This window comes from Homo sapiens, chromosome 7 (genome assembly GCF_000001405.40).
Source record: "Homo sapiens chromosome 7, GRCh38.p14 Primary Assembly".
NCBI lineage: Eukaryota > Metazoa > Chordata > Mammalia > Primates > Hominidae > Homo > Homo sapiens.
The window spans coordinates 142,120,225-142,138,257 of record NC_000007.14 but is presented as its reverse complement, the minus strand read 5'-3'; the positions used below and the strand labels follow the sequence as shown (position 1 = coordinate 142,138,257).

Genomic DNA, 18,033 nt, shown 5'->3' with positions numbered 1-18,033 from the left:
GTGGCAAGGGCTAATATGGGCACTTGGAATATAGTGGCACAGAGCAAACATAGCTCCTGCCCTCAGAGAGCTTAGAGGAAATAAATAAATGCCTAATATAATTTCAGATAGTGGTGTGTGCAAAGGGTAAAGGAATAAGAATGGATGGGATTAGGAGTGAGATTACAGGCACACGCCACCATGCCCAGCTAATTTTTGTATTTTTAGTAGAGACAGGGCTCTGCCATGTTGGCCAGGCTGGTCTCAACCTCCTGACCTCAAGTGATTCGCCCACCTTGGCCTCCCAAAGTGGTGGAATTACAAGCATGAGCCACTGCAGCCAACCTCAAGCGTCTTCCTTTTCTATAATTTGAGTCAAATGTGAATAGCTAGCAAAGTTTATTCAGGTAGTTCCTTTTCACTGAATTTTAACTTATTGAATGAATAAGCTTTGCTGATTTGTGGGATACATGAATGGACTATGAGTTACTTGAAAGCAGGATGGTGTCTGACTTCTTTTTGCATTTCTCAAGCCTTGCACAGTGTCTCTTTGGAATGCAGAAAGCACCCAATAAAGGTCATCAAAATAAATAAACAATAGATGAAAGACTCACTATCCCAGCATTTATAATCCATACAGTTTACTAATACCTTTTATTTTTCTTTTATTAATTTATAATGAGTATATGAGATAACAGCAGTAAATAATGACTATCTAAATGCAAAGACATACCTCCAAGTATTCCTGAACCACTTGTTCTGGAGTGTTTCCTAGGAATACGTAAAAGTCAAGAATGCCTCCAATCGTGCGATAAGTGATCGCAGGAGCTGGCTGAAGGGTAACCTCTGAAAAAATTATAATGAGATTAATTAGAATCTTATGGTTGGAAGTAAACTCTTCTCTGCAGTAGAAATAGTTGAGCCACCTAAAAGAGTCTCAGTCTCATTTTGAAAGGGATGAAAATCACACTGTCTTTTTATCAGAGGATCGTTGTTGGAGTTTATCAAAGTATTGAATGTGTAAGACACCAATGAAGAATTGAGTTTTGTTTTTTTTTTTTTAAGATAAAGAAGAACAAATTGTATTTTAACCTGGCCACATAAAAATACAAGCTTCTGGGTTTTGCGAGTAGCTTCACTCAAAAAACGTTATAAAAATTTTATTAGATGAGTTTGACTACAATTAAATATTTAAAAATAAATAAAAATGCTTATGAGAGTACCATTAATCCAGAAGCTGGAGAAGGAAGATTTGGAGTGGGGAAAGTGTGGGTGGGCTGTGAGAAACAGCCTACAAAACACAGCCTTGTTGCCTACAGACAGAAAGCACAATTTACACGTTGAAATCTACAGATATTTTTGGAATGCGTCTATCAGTGGATCCTATTTTCTACAGACTATGAGGGGAAACATTATACCAAAGAAGACCCCTGAAGTGGTTTTCAATGAAAACAATGTCAAGTATCACCTGGATTTGTAGACAGATTAACCTACTTTCAGGTTCCAGTTTCAATAAAAGTATTGTAGGTTCAAAATGCCTTCTGTTCAACAGTTGATCTCACCATAAAAGTAATTTTTTATAAAAGCAGAATCCTAAAACGTATTCCTACCTACAGAAGATAAAAAGATGCTTCCTACCCATGGCATTACTGTTCATCAGAAATACTCCAAAAGAGGAGCCCCTGGCATCTTCAAGGCACAAGAAGAATGTATGAGCTCCATACAGATTAATCATGCCCTATCAGCAAAACAGAAGAAAAGTCATAGTGTTATGTGTTGAGAAAGTTTTCATTCACCCTAAAATAAATTCAAAAGCCATCTATAACATATACTTGGTCAACACTTCATGTAGTTTAACATTGTATCAAAAAGGCATTGTAATGATATTATCAACTGGAAAATGAATAAACAAAATATGGTATTATCTATACAAAAGAATTCCATTCAACAACAGTAAAATAATCATACACACTGCAATATAAATAAACCTTGAAAGTGTTATGCTAAGGGAAAGAAACAGACACAAACAACCATATATTGTATGATTTCATTGATATGAAATATCTAGAAAAGTCAAATCTATAGGGACAGAAAGTAGGTTAGTAATTGGTTAGGGCTGAAGCAAGCTCTGGAGTTTAAGTCTCAAAGGGCAGAAGGGATCCTATTGCGGTGATGTCAAAGCTATAGAACTGGATTATGACGATGCTTGTCTAACTCAGTATATGTGCTCAAAGTCATTGAATTGCACACTTAAAACAGATGAATTTTTTGGCCTATGAATTATAACTCAATCAAGTTATTTTGTAAACATATTTGCTATGATGTATACCAAAATATTAGCAGAAAGTGATGGTATTATGAGTAATTTTGAATTTTTTACACCTAGTTGTATTTTCTAATGTTTCTGTAGTTACCATATAATACTTAAGTGGTTAAAAAAAAGCTTAAAACTGATAGAAAGAGAAAGAAAAAATATTGAAATCTGTGACGAAGCTGTGATGAGCACTGACCTAAGAAGAGATAATGTGTGTGTGTGTGTGTGTGTGTGTGTGTGTAACTCTAAGTGCTGTAAGAATAAAAGAAGTTGAGATTAGAATACGGAGAACGTTTTACAAGTTCCCTGTGTGACAGTATCATCATCTTAGCCAAAGCATAAGGCAATAATACTGATAATGGTAAATACCAGGAGAGGGAAAAGAAAGAATCAACATAATTTGCAAAATTGAGAAGATCAATAAGCCTCAGCTAGATGTAAAATTATAGCCAGGAAAACTAATGGCATCACACTTGGATAGCATACAGACAAAATTTTTAAAATACATTTTAAAGAAAGAAAAAAACAGGGGAGAAAGGCAAGAAAAAAGAAAGGAAGAAAAACAGGAAGGCATTACATCTAATTTGTGACTATACAATTTAGGAATGTCAGCTATAGAAAGTCAAACGTAGTACGATTCATAGTATTCAATATTTGCCAGGGTCCTTGACCAAACATTTATTACATGCGTTAGCTATTGCTTTTTTGTCTTTGCTCTGCTCAGCAAGTTCACTCCCTCCATTGTATCCGATGCTGGTAGCTGGGCTACAGGTTAATGTGCTACTTGCTTTGTTCATCTCCTGCCAAATACGAATTGCAAAATGTCAGCTCTCTCCCTTGCACCATACTTCAACTTGCAGTTCTTGCATGGATCCAAGAAATATCATCAGCACAATGGAGGCTTCAAGACATGCTCTACAAACCTATGTGACTCAAAGCTTTGTCCATGGAACAATACTTCCTCAAACCCTTTGTTATCAGTCAGCCACAAGACAAGTGCAAAAACCAAAAGTCAAAGTTTAGAAATTCTTTTATAGCAATTGAAAAGGGTAATATTTTATGTCTGTTCAACTGAAAATTTAGGTTTTTTTGGTATGTCTTTGAGTTTTTTTATTTCATTTTTTCAGTAATATATTTTAATTGTATTTTACAAAATTATTGCCAGTGCTAGATTTTTTTTTTTTTTTTAAGAAACTAGTCCTTCACTCCAGATAAGCTGAGAGGCATTAATCCAGAGCAGTCTTTCTCCCACTTTCATATGAATGTGAGTCACCTGGGGATCTTGCAAAAATGCATATTTGGATCCAGTGGGTCTGGGCTATGGCCTGAGATTCTGCATTTTTAACAACCTCCCAGGTAATGCCAACGCTGACGTTTCTGAAACACACTTTCACTAGCAAACACCTAGAACAGTATGAAAGCTGTCAAAAGAGACATTTTTAGTCCACCAAGTTCTACTGAGCTTGGCTCCTACTGAAGCCTTCCTTTCCTCAGTTATTAAACCAAGACATAGTAATTTGGCAGAAGTATATACTAGGTTCTAATATAATCATGAAATTGTATTTCCCATTAAAAGTGAAATTTGTTTAAAAAATGCTGCATTTCGAATTGCTAGAAAATTTCTAATTTAATTTTTTTTATTTTTAATATTGCTATATTCCTGAATTTATAGGCCTCAAGAACAAATATTCCTCAACACTAACACATCTAAAGTGAGCAAAGTAAAATAGATGTATTCCTGCAGGCTACTTTTAGGAAAGGAAGGAGGGTATCCCTTACTGTGGGCGATACTCAGGAGGAAAGCCACCTCACCTCGGTGGGGGTAGCGTCCCGGGTGAAGATGGGCCAAGTCTTCCAGGTCATATTGTGGCGGTACTGCTGGTGCACATGCTCTCCCAGCCCATACACATTGGCACTGGGCAGTCGGAAAGACAGTTGCAGGTACTGCTGGGCAAACTGGAGGGGCCCGATGCTCGTGTCCAACCTGGGCCATGGGGTAAGTAGAGCAAGAATCACCGAAAAACACTCTTTCCTCTGCCAGGAAGCTATCTTCTCCTTTCCACATACACTTAGACCTCTGTTGTTTCAGGCGTTAGCAATTTTCTTGCTACCTTTGAAGGCCTTTCTAGGGCACCTCTGGTTCTTTAATTCTAGAGGAAGACAGCATTAGGGCCAGGATGCCAGGAGCTCAGGTTGGACAATTGGGGAAAGAGAGCAGAGTTGACTTCATGTTTAATGTGCATCTACTACATACCAGGCACCGCTCTGGGTGTTTTATAAACAAAGTCTCATTGCCCCTAGGAAAAGTGGATATTTTGAGTCCCTTTTTTTGGACAAGGAAACTGATACTGTTGAGGATAGGTATTTTGCCTGATATATAACACAGCTGACTGTTGATCTGCTGGTACCGGGATGTGAATACTGGTTTTACAGACACTAATACTTCTGTTTACTCCAGTACAGTTTGTGAATTAAGCTGAAACTGTTGGTCACTGCTTGATAGTAAAATTCACAGTAAATAATAATTTAAAATGATAGACAATGAAGTTTGAGTTCCAGTATGAATAATAATTTAAAACAATAAAATCCCCTATTTTACAATATATGTAAACCACAAGTATATTTCTGTGTATAAATATATTATACAAATAAACATATTAAATATACTATATATTTAAATATATAAATATATATTATTAAATTTTATATAAATATTTTATATTAAAAAATTATCTTATGTAAAATATATATTTATATATTTATATTTAATATATTAATGTATATTAACATGTATTAAATATTTATATTAAATATAAATTAACATTTATTAAATATGTTAAATATTTATATTAAATATAAATTAATGTCTATTAAATAAATATTAAATATAAATTAAATATAATTAAACTGATTAAATTAAAACTAAATATAATTAAATGAAAATATAAATTAAATATAAATATAAATTAATATATATTAAATATATGTTAAATATTTTAATATAAATGCATATATAATATGTAAATATATTTAACGTATAAATATGACATATTTGTATATTAAATACATATGTTATATATTATATATTATATTTAATTTAATATATAATATCTATATATTTATATAATTATATTACTTATAATTATATATTATATTATACATAATTATATGACATGTAATTATATATTATATTATATAATTATATATTATATATTATATGTTATTACATATTTCTATTAATATTATTAATATTAATTATATTAATTAATATTATTAATTATATTATAATTAATATATTTATTATATTTTAATTATAACTATATTCTTCATTTTTATAATTTAATTTTAAATTATGTATTAAATATATAAATTATATAGTTGATTAAATTATATAAAGTATATGGAATGTATAATTAAATTATATATTTTATATATTTTAAATTACATTTAAATTTTTATAATTTAATTTAATTTTAAATTATGAAATTTATAATTTTATAATTTAAATATAATTATAATATTATTAATTATATTAATAGTAATAATATATTATTATTATATTATATAATTATATATTATATAAATTATATATGTAATTATATATTATATAAATTATATTAAATTACATATAATTATGTATTATATAATTATATAAAATTATATAACTTAGCAAACATTTTAGTATTACCTTTTAGTATTCTCTGTTTTACGAGCATGATAGGCTAACACTGTTATTTTACAGCAAACCCTTGGACATTTTTCTAATATTCAAACATTTTCTCTAGTTGTACTGATTTCACTGCCCACCCCCAGTAAATCAGAATGAGTAATATTAGAACTGTGTGTTCAAAGATGCACCAAGAGGGTTGAAAAGCTCACAAGACTCTTCTGTTGCTTGTCCTCATTATTTTGATGCTGAAAGGTTTATCAGTAACCTCCACGTAATAGCTCAAATTGGAGGCATCAGCAATCCCATCAACCAGGTTAATATTTTCATGGGAAACTTCATAGCGTATGTTATTAAAGTCAGTGATCTGTCAAAAGAAAAACAGAAGGGACAACTGCAGATAAGACCACTTCCTTGTAGACAGAGCTACAAAAGATGTTCCATCTCAAATGACACCCCATGAGAATAGCTTCTAATTCTTCACCTTGTGGCTTCTGATTTGTGAAATCACCCAATTACATGTGCCCCATCAAATAAAAATTAGCCTGCCCATGCCATCCAGAGATTCCTGCAGAGAGGGAGAGAGGTACCTTCTGCCTCCACACTTCAAGCCCAATGTGAGCACACTGCTTTCTTCAGAAATGTATTTAGCAGTCACTCCCAAACCAACCTTAAAATGAAACCGATTGGATGTCTGATATTCAGCTGTGAAAAGGGTGGTGGCGACATCATTTCCAAACAGAGATGGTGATGGCAACCTTTTCAACTGGGCAGTAAATCCTAGGGGTGGCAAGATATGGAGAGAGAGAAAAGGAGACTAACTTTTAGTGTTTGGTTTTGTTTTGTTTTTGTTTTTGTTTTGAGATGGAGTCTTGCCCTGTGGCCCAGGCTGGAGTGCAAGACGTGATCTCGGCTCACTGCAACCTCCACCTCCCAGGTTCAAATGATTCTCCTGCCTCTGCCTCCTGAGTAGCTGGGATTACAGGCAGCTGCCACCACACCCAGCTAATTTTTGTATTTTTAGTAGAGACGGGGTTTCACCACATTGGTCAGGCTGGTCTTGAACTCCTGACCTCATGATCCACCCACGTCAGCCTCTCGAAGTGCTGGGATTACAGACGTGAGCCACCACGCCTGCCTGACTTTTAGCTTTTATTTTATTTTGCAGTTAACGTATCTGGGCCATAAGGAGTTGTTCCCAGGCGCAACATCAGGGCAGTGCTCACCTGTGCTTGTATTTGTATGGCCATTGCTGGCTTCATAGCCCCAGTTCCAGGGGAAGAAGCACCTAGGGACATTGGCATCTGCCACAGGCGACCAGCAGCACTTATATTGCCATCTGCAGATATCCTGTAACAATGACACAGAGTTAGCAGTATATAAACTGAGGGAAGGAAAGTATTATCTGTCTATTTATTTATAACCCATTTTATTCCAAGGAGAATTTAAGATAGGTTATAATTACATTCATTAATTTATTTGTTCTTTATTTATTCATGAATCTATCCAACTGTCCAATATGTATTTATTATCTACCAGACATGGAACTGATAATACAGATAAATAAGACATAGCTTGTGCCTTCAGCAAACTACTGTCTAGTGGCAAATCCATACAATTAGGAAAGCAATTACATACAGTATGATGATATGAGGGCTCCACCAAGTGTGTCCAGGAGCTGAGGGAACACACAGTCACTGTACCCAGCCTAGTAGGCGTGGAGTGGGGTAGGGAGAGCTTCCAGGTAAGTGAAAGGTAAGTCCCATCATGAAGCACCAGGGGAGGTTAGACAGAGGAACAGTATTCCTGGCGGAGAAAGCAGCAGTGCATGACAGACTCAGAAAAACCACACATTTCTTGTGCCAAAAACATTAAGTATGAGAATGAAGCTGGAAATCACATAGTATTTTTACCAAGAGTGGGCTGGAAGCCAGTCCAAGAAGTTTGGACTTTCCCATGAGAAAGAGTCATGCAAGTGGCTAACAATACAGCAAAAGAAGAAATGCATTTCCAAAAAGTAAGCAAAGTGAAGCTAAGAAAACTAGAGACGATTAAAATAAAACTAGGACAGAGGGTAACATAGAAATTCACAATATCTCTGCTATGTCCAAGGCAAAAACAAATCACATGTGGTTCTTTCTCAGAGTGGTTTGATTATAAATATTCTTTTGGTGTTATTTAGCAAGATTTATTTTGTAAAGGTCTTATAATTTTCAGGTTAATTTACATAAAATTATTTTGTTATGATAAATAAAACAAATGGCAACTGAGACCACTGTGTTAGAATAAACACAGGCATTCACCTTCCTCACCTAACTAAATTTACATGAAATGACAGAAATGATTTTAAGAAAAAAATTACAAATCTGTTTATAAAACAGCAAAATAAAATGCAATGTGGCAGGTGAGAAATTCAATTACAACTGAATTTCTTTTTTTTTTTTTTTTTTTTTTTTTTTTTTTTTTTTTTTTGAGACAGAGTTTTGTTCTTGTTGCCCAGTCTGGAGTGCAATGGTGCAGTCTCGGCTCACTGTAATCTCTGCCTCCTGGGTTCAAGTTATTCTACTGCCTCAGCCTCCTGAGTAGCTAGGATTACAGGCTCCCACCACCACACCTGGCTAATTTTTGTATTTTTAGTAGAGACAGGGTTTCACCATGTTGGCCAGGCTAGTCTCGAACTCCTGACCTCAGGTGATCCACCCACCTCAGCCTCCCAAAGTGCTGGGATTACAGGCATGAGCCACCGCGCCTGGCCTACAATTGAAATTTCAATTACAATTACAACTACAATTGAAATTCAATTACAATTCAAGGTGCGATTTAGGTGGGGACACAGAGTCAAACCATGTCATTCTGCACCGGGCCCCTCTCAAATCTCATGGCCTCGCGTTTCAAAACATAATCATGCCCTTCCAATAGTCCCTTAAAGTTTTAACTCATTCCAGCATTAATCCAAAAGTACAAGTCCAAAGTCTCATCTGAGACAAGGCAAGTCCCTTTAGCCTATGAGCCTGTAAAATCAAAAGCAAGTTAGTTACTTCCTAGATACAATGGGGTACAGGCATTGGGTAAATATACCCATTCCAAATGGGAGAAATTGGTCAAAATGAAGGGGCTACAGGCCCCATGCAAGTCTGAAATCCAATGAGGCTGTCAAATCCTAAAGCTCTGAAATAATCTCCTTTGACTCCATGTCTCACATCCAGGTCATGCTGATGTGAGAGGTGGGCTCCCACAGCCTTGAGCAGCTCTGCCTCTGTGGCTCTGCATGTACAGCCCCCCTCTTGGCTGCTTTCATGGGCTGGCATTGAGTGTCTGCGGCTTTTCCGGGCATGCAGTGCAAGCCATCAGTGGATCTACCATTCTGGGGGCTGGAGGACAGTGGCCCTCTTCTCCCAACTTCACTAGGCTGCGCCCCAGTGGGGACTTTTTGTTGGGGCTCTGACCCCACATTTCCCTTCCGCACTGCCCTAGCAGAGGATCTCCATAAGGACTCCACCTATGCAGAAAACTTGTGCCTGGCCATCCAGGCATTTCCATACGTCCTCTGAAATCTAGGTAGAGGTTCCTATACCTCGGTGCTTGACTTCTATGCACCCACAGGCTCAACAACATGTAGAAGCAGCCAAGACTTGGGGCTTATACACTCTGAAGCCATGGCCCGAGCTGTACTTTTGTCCCTTTTAGCCATGTCTGGAGCTGCTGGGACACAGGACCCCAAGTCCCTAGGCTGCACAGAGCAGGGGAGACCCTGGGCCTGGCCCATGGAACCATTTTTCTGTCCGAGGCTTCCTGGCCTGTGATGGGAGGTACTGCTCTGAAGACCTCTGACGCCCTGGAGCCATTTTTCCCGTTGTCTTGGCAATTACCATTTGACTCCTTGTTACTTATGTAAATTTCTGCAGCTGGCTTGAATTTCTCCTCAGAAAATGGGTTTTTCTTTTCTATTGCATCATCAGGCTGCAAATTTTCTGAACTTTTATACTCTACTTCCCTTTTAAACATAAGTTCCAATTCCAAACCATATCTTCATGAATACATAAGCTGAACGCCTTTAACAGCACCCAAGTTACCTCTTGAACACTTTGCTGCTTACAAATTTCTTCTGCCAGATACCCTAAATCATCTCTCTCAAGTTCAAAGTTCCACAGATCTCTAGGGTAGGGGTAAAATGCCACCAGTCTCTTTGCTAAAACATAGCAAGAGTCACCTTTATTCCAGTTCCCAACAAGTTCCTCATCTCCATCTGAGAAAAGCCATTCAACAAGTCTCAAGGAAGTTCCAAACTTTCCTACATCTTCCTGTCCTCTTCTGAGCCTTTCAAACTGTTCCAACCTCAGCCTGTTACCCAATTCCAAAGTCGCTTCCACATTTTCAGGTATCTTTACAGCAGCACCCCACTACCTGGTACCAATTTACTGTATTAGTCAGTTCTCATGCTGCTAACAGAGACATACCCAAGACTGTGTAATTTATAAAGGAAAGACATTTAATGGACTCACAGTTCCACATGGCTGGGGAGGCCTCACAGTCATGGTGGAAGATGAAGGAAGTGCAAAGGGATGTCTTACATGGCGGCAGGCAAGAGAGCTTGTGCAGGGGAACTCCCCTTTATAAAACCATCAGATCTCATGAGACTTATTCACTACCATAAGAACAGTATGGGGGAAAGTGCCCCATGATTCAATTATCTCCACCTGGCCCACCCTTGACACACTGGGAGTATTAAAATTCAAGGTGAGATTTGGGTGGGGACACAGGATCAAACCATATCACTTCCATTAAAAAAATGAGGAATGTGTACTGTTAAGATTTAGAACAAGATTTAAAGCTCCTGAATATTTAAACTGAATTACAAAAGAAAACAACCAAAGAGAAGTGTTATGAAAAAAACTTTAAAAATCAAATTCAATTATCCCAGAAAATAATATAAAAAAAATGGAAAATATGAAAGAAAGAGTAGATGAAGTGACTGACAGACTCAGATAGCAGCACTCAACTAAGAAGACTCCAGAAAGAGAAAGGAGAAGACAAATTAGGGAAAGAAAAGCAAATAAAATGTCATGGATCATTAACAACTCAATGTACAACCCAAGACACTAGAAAAGTACAAAATACACCCACAAAAGTGTGTAAAATAATAAAAACTAAAACAGTAATTATAAAGAAGCAAGTAACTACATTCATCAATTCAAAACATCCATTGAGTGCCTGCTCTGTTTAAAGAATTCATCCAGATTCCAGTGGCACAGAGTTGTCTGCAAGGACAGGAAGACAGATACCACCATTAATCATATCCAGCTTGTTTCCACCACTGATTTGCAGTGTCATTTTCATTATAAACTAAATTTAAGTGCATACATATAAGCATGTGAATATGCATTTTGGGACTTCTTATTATATTCAAATGGCTTATATGTCAATTCCTGTTATAACTCCACACTGATATTACTATAGTGTGAGGATAAGTTTTGTTATTAGTCTGGCAAATCAATCAATCTAAGGGTTTCTTTGGAAAGATCAAGGAAATAGAAATATCTTAAAGTCTTATTTTGACAAAAAAGGGAAACAAACAAGGCTTAACACAAGAATAAAAAATGACAACAGATATAAAGAATGAGTAAGAATCATGAGAAAACTTATTCATAACAAATATTAGCCAATGAATGTGAAACTCTAAATTAAATAAATCTTTACACAGTAAAATTTAAATAATCAAAATTGTCTAAGAGGAGATAGAAAACCTGAAATGTCCAGTGACCATGAAAAATTGTGAAAGATAGTTAAGAATCTTTCCCTAAAAAAAAAAAATTGCCCAAATGATTTGAGGAATAAAATATCCTCATATTATATATACTGTATTTTCAGAATATAGAAAAAGGTGAAAAGTTTCCTAATTCATTTTATAAAACTAGAATAGTTCTGGTAACAAACTGAAAAAGGACAGTCCAAATAAACAAGTAAATAAAAATACATAGGCCCATTTCATTTAAAAAACATAGATGTGCGAAATATCAATAAAATATTAGCAATTTGAATTCGTTCATATATTAAAAGAATTAATACACAATATATGAATAGGTCTCATTAAGCAAAAGTGAAAATGGTTCCAAATTAAAAAATATTTTAACATAATTCACAACACTGACAAAAGAAAATCATATGGTAATCTCAACTGAAGCAACCTATTTTAAAAATATAATGTGGTAAATTCAAATGCCTTAAATTTAAAAAGCAAGTTGGAAAAATATATAGTATAATCAAATTTTCGTTAAAACAAAATAAATATATAGATGCAAAAGCTTATAAAGATCAAGAGAAGGATATACACTAAGCCATTGATTTGATTCTGGGTGATTCTGGGGGGAGTAATTTGGAGATAGACAGGAAACATTAATACTTTCTCATTTTGTTCTGTACATAACTATAATGTCTGAATCTTTCCTGTTAAAGGACTGTGTTCAGTGTGGATTGTGACACCAAAAACAAGAATATGTCACAACACTACTCATTTGAAAAAGGCGTAGTGCTGACAAGTATTTCAGATGCTAACATCTGATGTCATTTTCCTGAAAAGCCACAATGTAAATACAACTTAAGTCAGTGCTTCATACCTATTATAAACAAAGTAATTATATTATAACCATACAATCTTTTTAAATATACTTATTAACTCTCCATAAATCTAATTGACATTCCTGTCTCATTGTCTTCAGATAACAAAAAAGGCTGGAAGGGATCAGTGAAGAAAGAATTTGGGGGTCTGGGTGGCCTGTAGATAATTGATTTTCCTAAGGCAGACATTAAGTAGCTCTGCTCCCTCTGAAACTGGGGTCAGTCTAATTCAAAAGGTCAGTTTCATTGTCATAAATTGTTTCAAAGTCCACAGACCTCTATAAAAAGCAATAAACATTTAAGTAAGTGGTCTGCTCTAACATCCCTACTTCAGTTTTCAACCATTACCAATATCCCAGACCCCAAATTATCTACTACAACTTTCATTTGATGCAGGGATTTCTTCAATAGAGTCTCTGATAGATGCTGAAAATCTGTAAATGATATGTAACCAACTTCTTCCAAAACCAGGAAATTCCTCTTCTATAATTAGTATTTTATTCAATGTTATTTATTAGGTTTAGTTAAAATCAGTCTCCAGGAAGTTCCATTTTCTAAAACCTACCATAGCTGCATGTTGCCTTTCAGATAAACTGTCTCAAACTATATTGACAATTTAGAAAGAAAAGAGAATCTTGTAACCTATGAGTTAAAAGACATGGAAGAAAATGGAATGCACATTGGAAAAAACTTCCAACTGTTATTATTTGCAGGTAACATTATCATGTCAGAAAAAAACAAGAGTCTACAAACTAGGACAATTAATAAGTAAATTTAAGATTTCTAGTTACAAGATCAGTATTCAAAAATCAATTTTAAATCTATATATATAAGAGAAACAGAAAATTAAAATTTAAGAATAAGATTTGAATAGAATCAAATAGGAAAAAAGTAGCAAAACCATGTGCAAAAGCTCTATATCAAAAATTTCAAAACTAAAATCTCAGTACATAGAAAGATATATACCATGTTTAGGAATTGAAATATTCACCCTTGTAAAGATGGTAATTTTCCCAAATTTAACCTGTAAATTTTATGTAATCACAATAAAATTTCTAGTAAGTTTTGTGAGAAAACTGGCAGGCTGGTATGAGAGACATTAAAATTAAAATGTATTCAGAAACCTAAAGGGCAAAGAATAAGCTAGGCAATCTTGAAGAAAAGTAAGAATGATTTGGAGGACTTCTACAACCACACATTAAGACCTATCATAAAGCAATAGTTATTAAGGCTGTATGGTATTGGCAAAAGAACAAACTAGTAACTCAACAAAATACATTCCAGAAGCAGATCCATACCTATAAAGACATAATTTACAGGAAAGGTGTCACTAAAATGCAGAGGGAAAAAGATGGTCAGTTCAATAAGTGGTGATGGATCGATTAAAAATTCAAGAAAAAAAACGTTTCTGGGCCAGGTGTGGTGGCTCATGCCTGTAATCCCAGCACTTTGGGAGGCTGAGGTGGGCGGATCACAAGGTCAGGAGTTCGAGAACAGCCTGACAAAAATGGTGAAACCTCATCTCTACTAAAAATACAAAAAATTAGCCAGGCATGATAGCGGGTGCCTATAATCCCAGCTACTCAGGAAGCTGAGGTGTGAGAATCACCTGAACCTGGGAGGTGGAGGTTGCAGTGAGCCAAGATTGCGCCTCTGCGCTCCAGCCTGGGAGACAGAGCAAGACTCCGTCTCAAAAAAAAAAAAAAAAAAAAAAAAAAAGTTTCTGGACTCTTACCTGATACCATATACAAAAATCAGTACTATATTCATAAAAGACCTACATTTGAAGGATAAAACAATAATGCTTTTAAGGGAAAGATAGTAATATATTTTTCTGACCTCGGAGTAGGCAAGAATTACTAAATAGAATATGAAATGAACCAACCATTGAAAAAGTGATAAAGTGAACTATTTTAAAATTGTGAGCTATTTGTCATCAACAGTCGCCATTAAGAGAGTTAAAAGACAAACCATAGACTAAGATATATATCTAACAAAGGATTTGTATCCAGAATACATAAGTAACTACTACAAAGCAATAAAAAAGATGAACAGTTCAGTAGAAAAAAAGGCAAAAAGTTAAAAAGACATTCCATAAATATGATTACCAACTAGCCAATAAGCATTTCTAAAGATATTTAACCTTATTAGTCATGAGAAACATGAAAATTAAAACCATAGAATGGTTAAATTGAAAAAGGAGAAAACACCAAGCGTTGATTAGGATGTAGAGCAAATGAACTCCTGTATACTACTAAAAGAAATGCAAATTGATACAAATACTTTGAAAAATGATTTTGCAGTGTCAGCTAAAGTTAAACATGTACATATCCTATAGACTGAAAGTTCCATCCTTAGGTATAGAGCCAATAAAAATTATTCCAACTGTTCACCCGAAGATACCCAAAAATTTGATGCAAATTTTTTTGAATCGTGCTGTAAAAAAAAAATCTCTAGATGAAAACTCACAATTGCCTATCAAGAGTAGGGTGGATACAGAAAAAAAAAAAAGAATATAACTATACCTAACAATAGGCTAAATCTCATAAAAATAATTTTGAGGTCGGGCGCGGTGGCTCACCCCTGTAATTCCAGCACTTTGGGAGGCTGAAGGGGGTGGATTACAAGGTCAAGAGACCATCCTGGCCAATATGGTGAAACCCCGTCTCTACTAAAAATACAAAAATTAGCTGGGCATGGTGGTGCATGCCTGTAGTCCCAGCTACTCAGAAGGCTGAGGCAGGAGAATTGCTTGAACCGGGGAGGCAGAGGTTGCAGTGAGCCGAGATCGCCCCAGTGCACTCCAGTCTGGCGACAGAACGAGATTTCATCCAACAACAACAACAACAACAAAAACATATTTAATAGAACTCAAAGTTTATAAATTTGAAAATATGGATGAAGTGGACAACATCCTACTATATGCCAAGGGAAGAATGGTTAAACTATGGCATACTCATACAATGGAATATCACTCAGTGGTACAAAGAATTATCTAATATTTGCAACAATAAAGATGAATCTCAAAAATGTGCTGAATGAAAGAGGCTTTACACTACGCTATGTGATTCCATTCATATGAAGTTCTGCAACAAGCAAAACTAAACTAAGGTGGAGATAAATCATATCAGTGATTACCTGTTAAGGGGTACAAGTCGGAATAACTATTGGGAAATGTCATAAGATAACTTTCTGAAGTGATGGTAACATTCTGTATCTTTGGGTATAGAATGGTTTGGCTTACACATGTGTAGTCATTTGCCATAATTCAACAAATGTGTGCCAAAGAATCGTGCAAAATGTATTAATAACAACTCTTTGTATTTGCATTGTATATAAGTGTAATATCTGAAGATAAATAACTATAATCAAACTTTGGACTGTAGCTAATAATATACTTGGTGAGAAATTTATGAAAAAGTGAACTGGTTTCTAGAACTTACTTTCAAATCCATAGAAATCAGATAGATTAATAGATGAATGAAGTGTGGGATAAGTGATAAATACGAGAAGGCAAAGTAAAATATTAATGGTGAAATTTAAGTGGGAGGTAATGAGTATTATTGTAAACTTGTTTGCAAAGTTCAATACTAAATTGTTGGAAAAAATCCATTTTCCATTTCTTTTAAAAAAAAGTTAAAATAAGAATATAAAGATGGTTCCTAACATATATCAATAAAACAATTCTCTTAAGCCAATAGCTAACTTTGTGCTTGATACTTTGCCCAAATTTCCATTAAAGTCAAGCATAAAATAAGGGTTGCCAACCATCATCACTTTAATTACATTATTCTGGAAGAAATAGACAATACGATTAGACATATGAATGTATAAGATAATATTAATACAAAGAAAAATTATCCTTATTTTCCTATAATATAATTCTATACTTAATATCCAGAGGAGGGACTACAAAACATTTTTTATAAACAATATGAGATTTAACTTGATCAATTATATAATAAATAGAATATAAATATACTGTGTAAACATAATATAAAGTAAAAATAATAAATATAAAAATAAAATAATAGTAAGAAAAGAAGCATTATAATAAAAGAAGCACAACTTACAAAATATAATGGATTATATTTACAGTAGAAACCAAGGATGTGAAATACGTAGGGAAAACATCATAATTCACATGCAATAAAACATATAAGAGAAACATAAAACTCAGTTAAGAAATAAATATATGCATATATGGGCCGGGCGTAGTGGCTCACACCTGTAAGCCCAGCATTTTGGGAGGCTGAGGCAGGTGGATCACCTGGGGTCAGGAGTTTGAGGCCTCCTGGCCAACACGGTGAAACCCTGCCTCTACTAAAAATACAAAATTTAGCTGGGCATGGTGGCAGGTGCCTGTAATCCCAGCTCCTCGGGAGGCTGAGGCACAAGAATTGCTTGAACCTGGGAGGCAGAGGTTGCAGTGAGCCAAGATCCGCGCCACTGCACTCCAGCCAGGAGACAAGGTGAGACTCTGTCTCAAAAAAAAGAAAAGAAAGAAATATATGTATATATGAAAAGAACTGAAATGGAGACACTTTCTATGTTTTTATAACAAGAAGATTCAAAACTATCAAAATGTGAATATTGTTTAAACTTTAACCTAAAATTCAATACTGTCCTAATTAATATCTCAAGAAGATATAGAATTTAGAATATGGGGCCAAGAAATAAAATTTAAATATATAAATACATACAACCTTTATGAAAAAGTCCTAAGTCACAACTAATCAGGGTTCAAGTCGCTGATATTTTATGGAAGCTACTCTGGGAGAAAACCTGTGTTCCTTAGCACGTATCCATTGGGACCTCTATTGCCAATAACATAATCCAGAGGGCTCTTGTAACAATTTGCCTGAGTTCCGTAGGTGACTCAGCCAGTGACTCAGGTAAATGCTAATCTATTTTCTATCACTATGGATTTCCCTATTTGCATGTGCTTAATGGCCTCTATTCTCAAAGAATACATAGTCTAGCCCACAAACATTTAACCTTTCTACCACTATCCTTGGAATCACACCTAAGGTACATTTAGTAACACCTGTAATCGCCCTCCACCTTGGACTTTATAATCCACAGATTAACATTCTTGTTAGCTTTTCCTACTCTTCCTTTTTTTCAACCCTGCTTCCCTCACGATCTTAATATTGTTATTTCAATAAGATAAGAAAGAAAGAACTCCAAACAAATCAGAGGCCCAGAAGCCATGCCACCCCCACCCTTTCCCCACTTCACATATTCATTTCTTTTCAATAACACCCTGTAGGCCACCAAAAGGGACCTTATTTCTCTGACCTCGGTCACCTCCTGGTCAGGTGTGCAGTCTATCCTTTCCGACTGGGGAATCTCTGGGCACTCTGGAGTAAATGAAGTATCTGCATAGGAATTAAAGGATAAAGTTGAAAATGTGTAGTGTAATCACAGCTCCAGGAAGGAAGCCAGCAAAGTTACA

The 18,033-nt window shown here is 35.2% G+C and overlaps 1 protein-coding gene across 4 annotated transcripts in view; it reads right to left on the bottom strand.

Annotated features, from left to right (window-relative positions):
* MGAM2 (maltase-glucoamylase 2 (putative)) overlaps positions 1-18,033 on the bottom strand; it is a 110,607-nt gene that overhangs the window by 84,067 nt on the left and 8,507 nt on the right. For 3 of the 4 annotated variants that reach the window (XR_927547.3, NM_001293626.2, XM_024446997.2), the window contains exons 3-9: positions 17,877-17,956; positions 7,187-7,310; positions 6,631-6,740; positions 6,173-6,327; positions 4,106-4,277; positions 1,618-1,717; positions 713-825 (exon numbers count right to left, since the gene is read on the bottom strand). Coding sequence is in view for 3 of the 4 variants with exons in the window: in NM_001293626.2 (NP_001280555.1) it covers positions 713-825; positions 1,618-1,717; positions 4,106-4,277; positions 6,173-6,327; positions 6,631-6,740; positions 7,187-7,310; positions 17,877-17,956 (854 nt within the window). In the remaining variant the exon portion in view is untranslated. Of the gene's footprint in view, positions 1-712; positions 826-1,589; positions 1,718-4,105; positions 4,278-6,172; positions 6,328-6,630; positions 6,741-7,186; positions 7,311-17,876; positions 17,957-18,033 lie in introns of those variants that run through there. The other variant, XM_011516692.3, reaches the window with a different exon arrangement.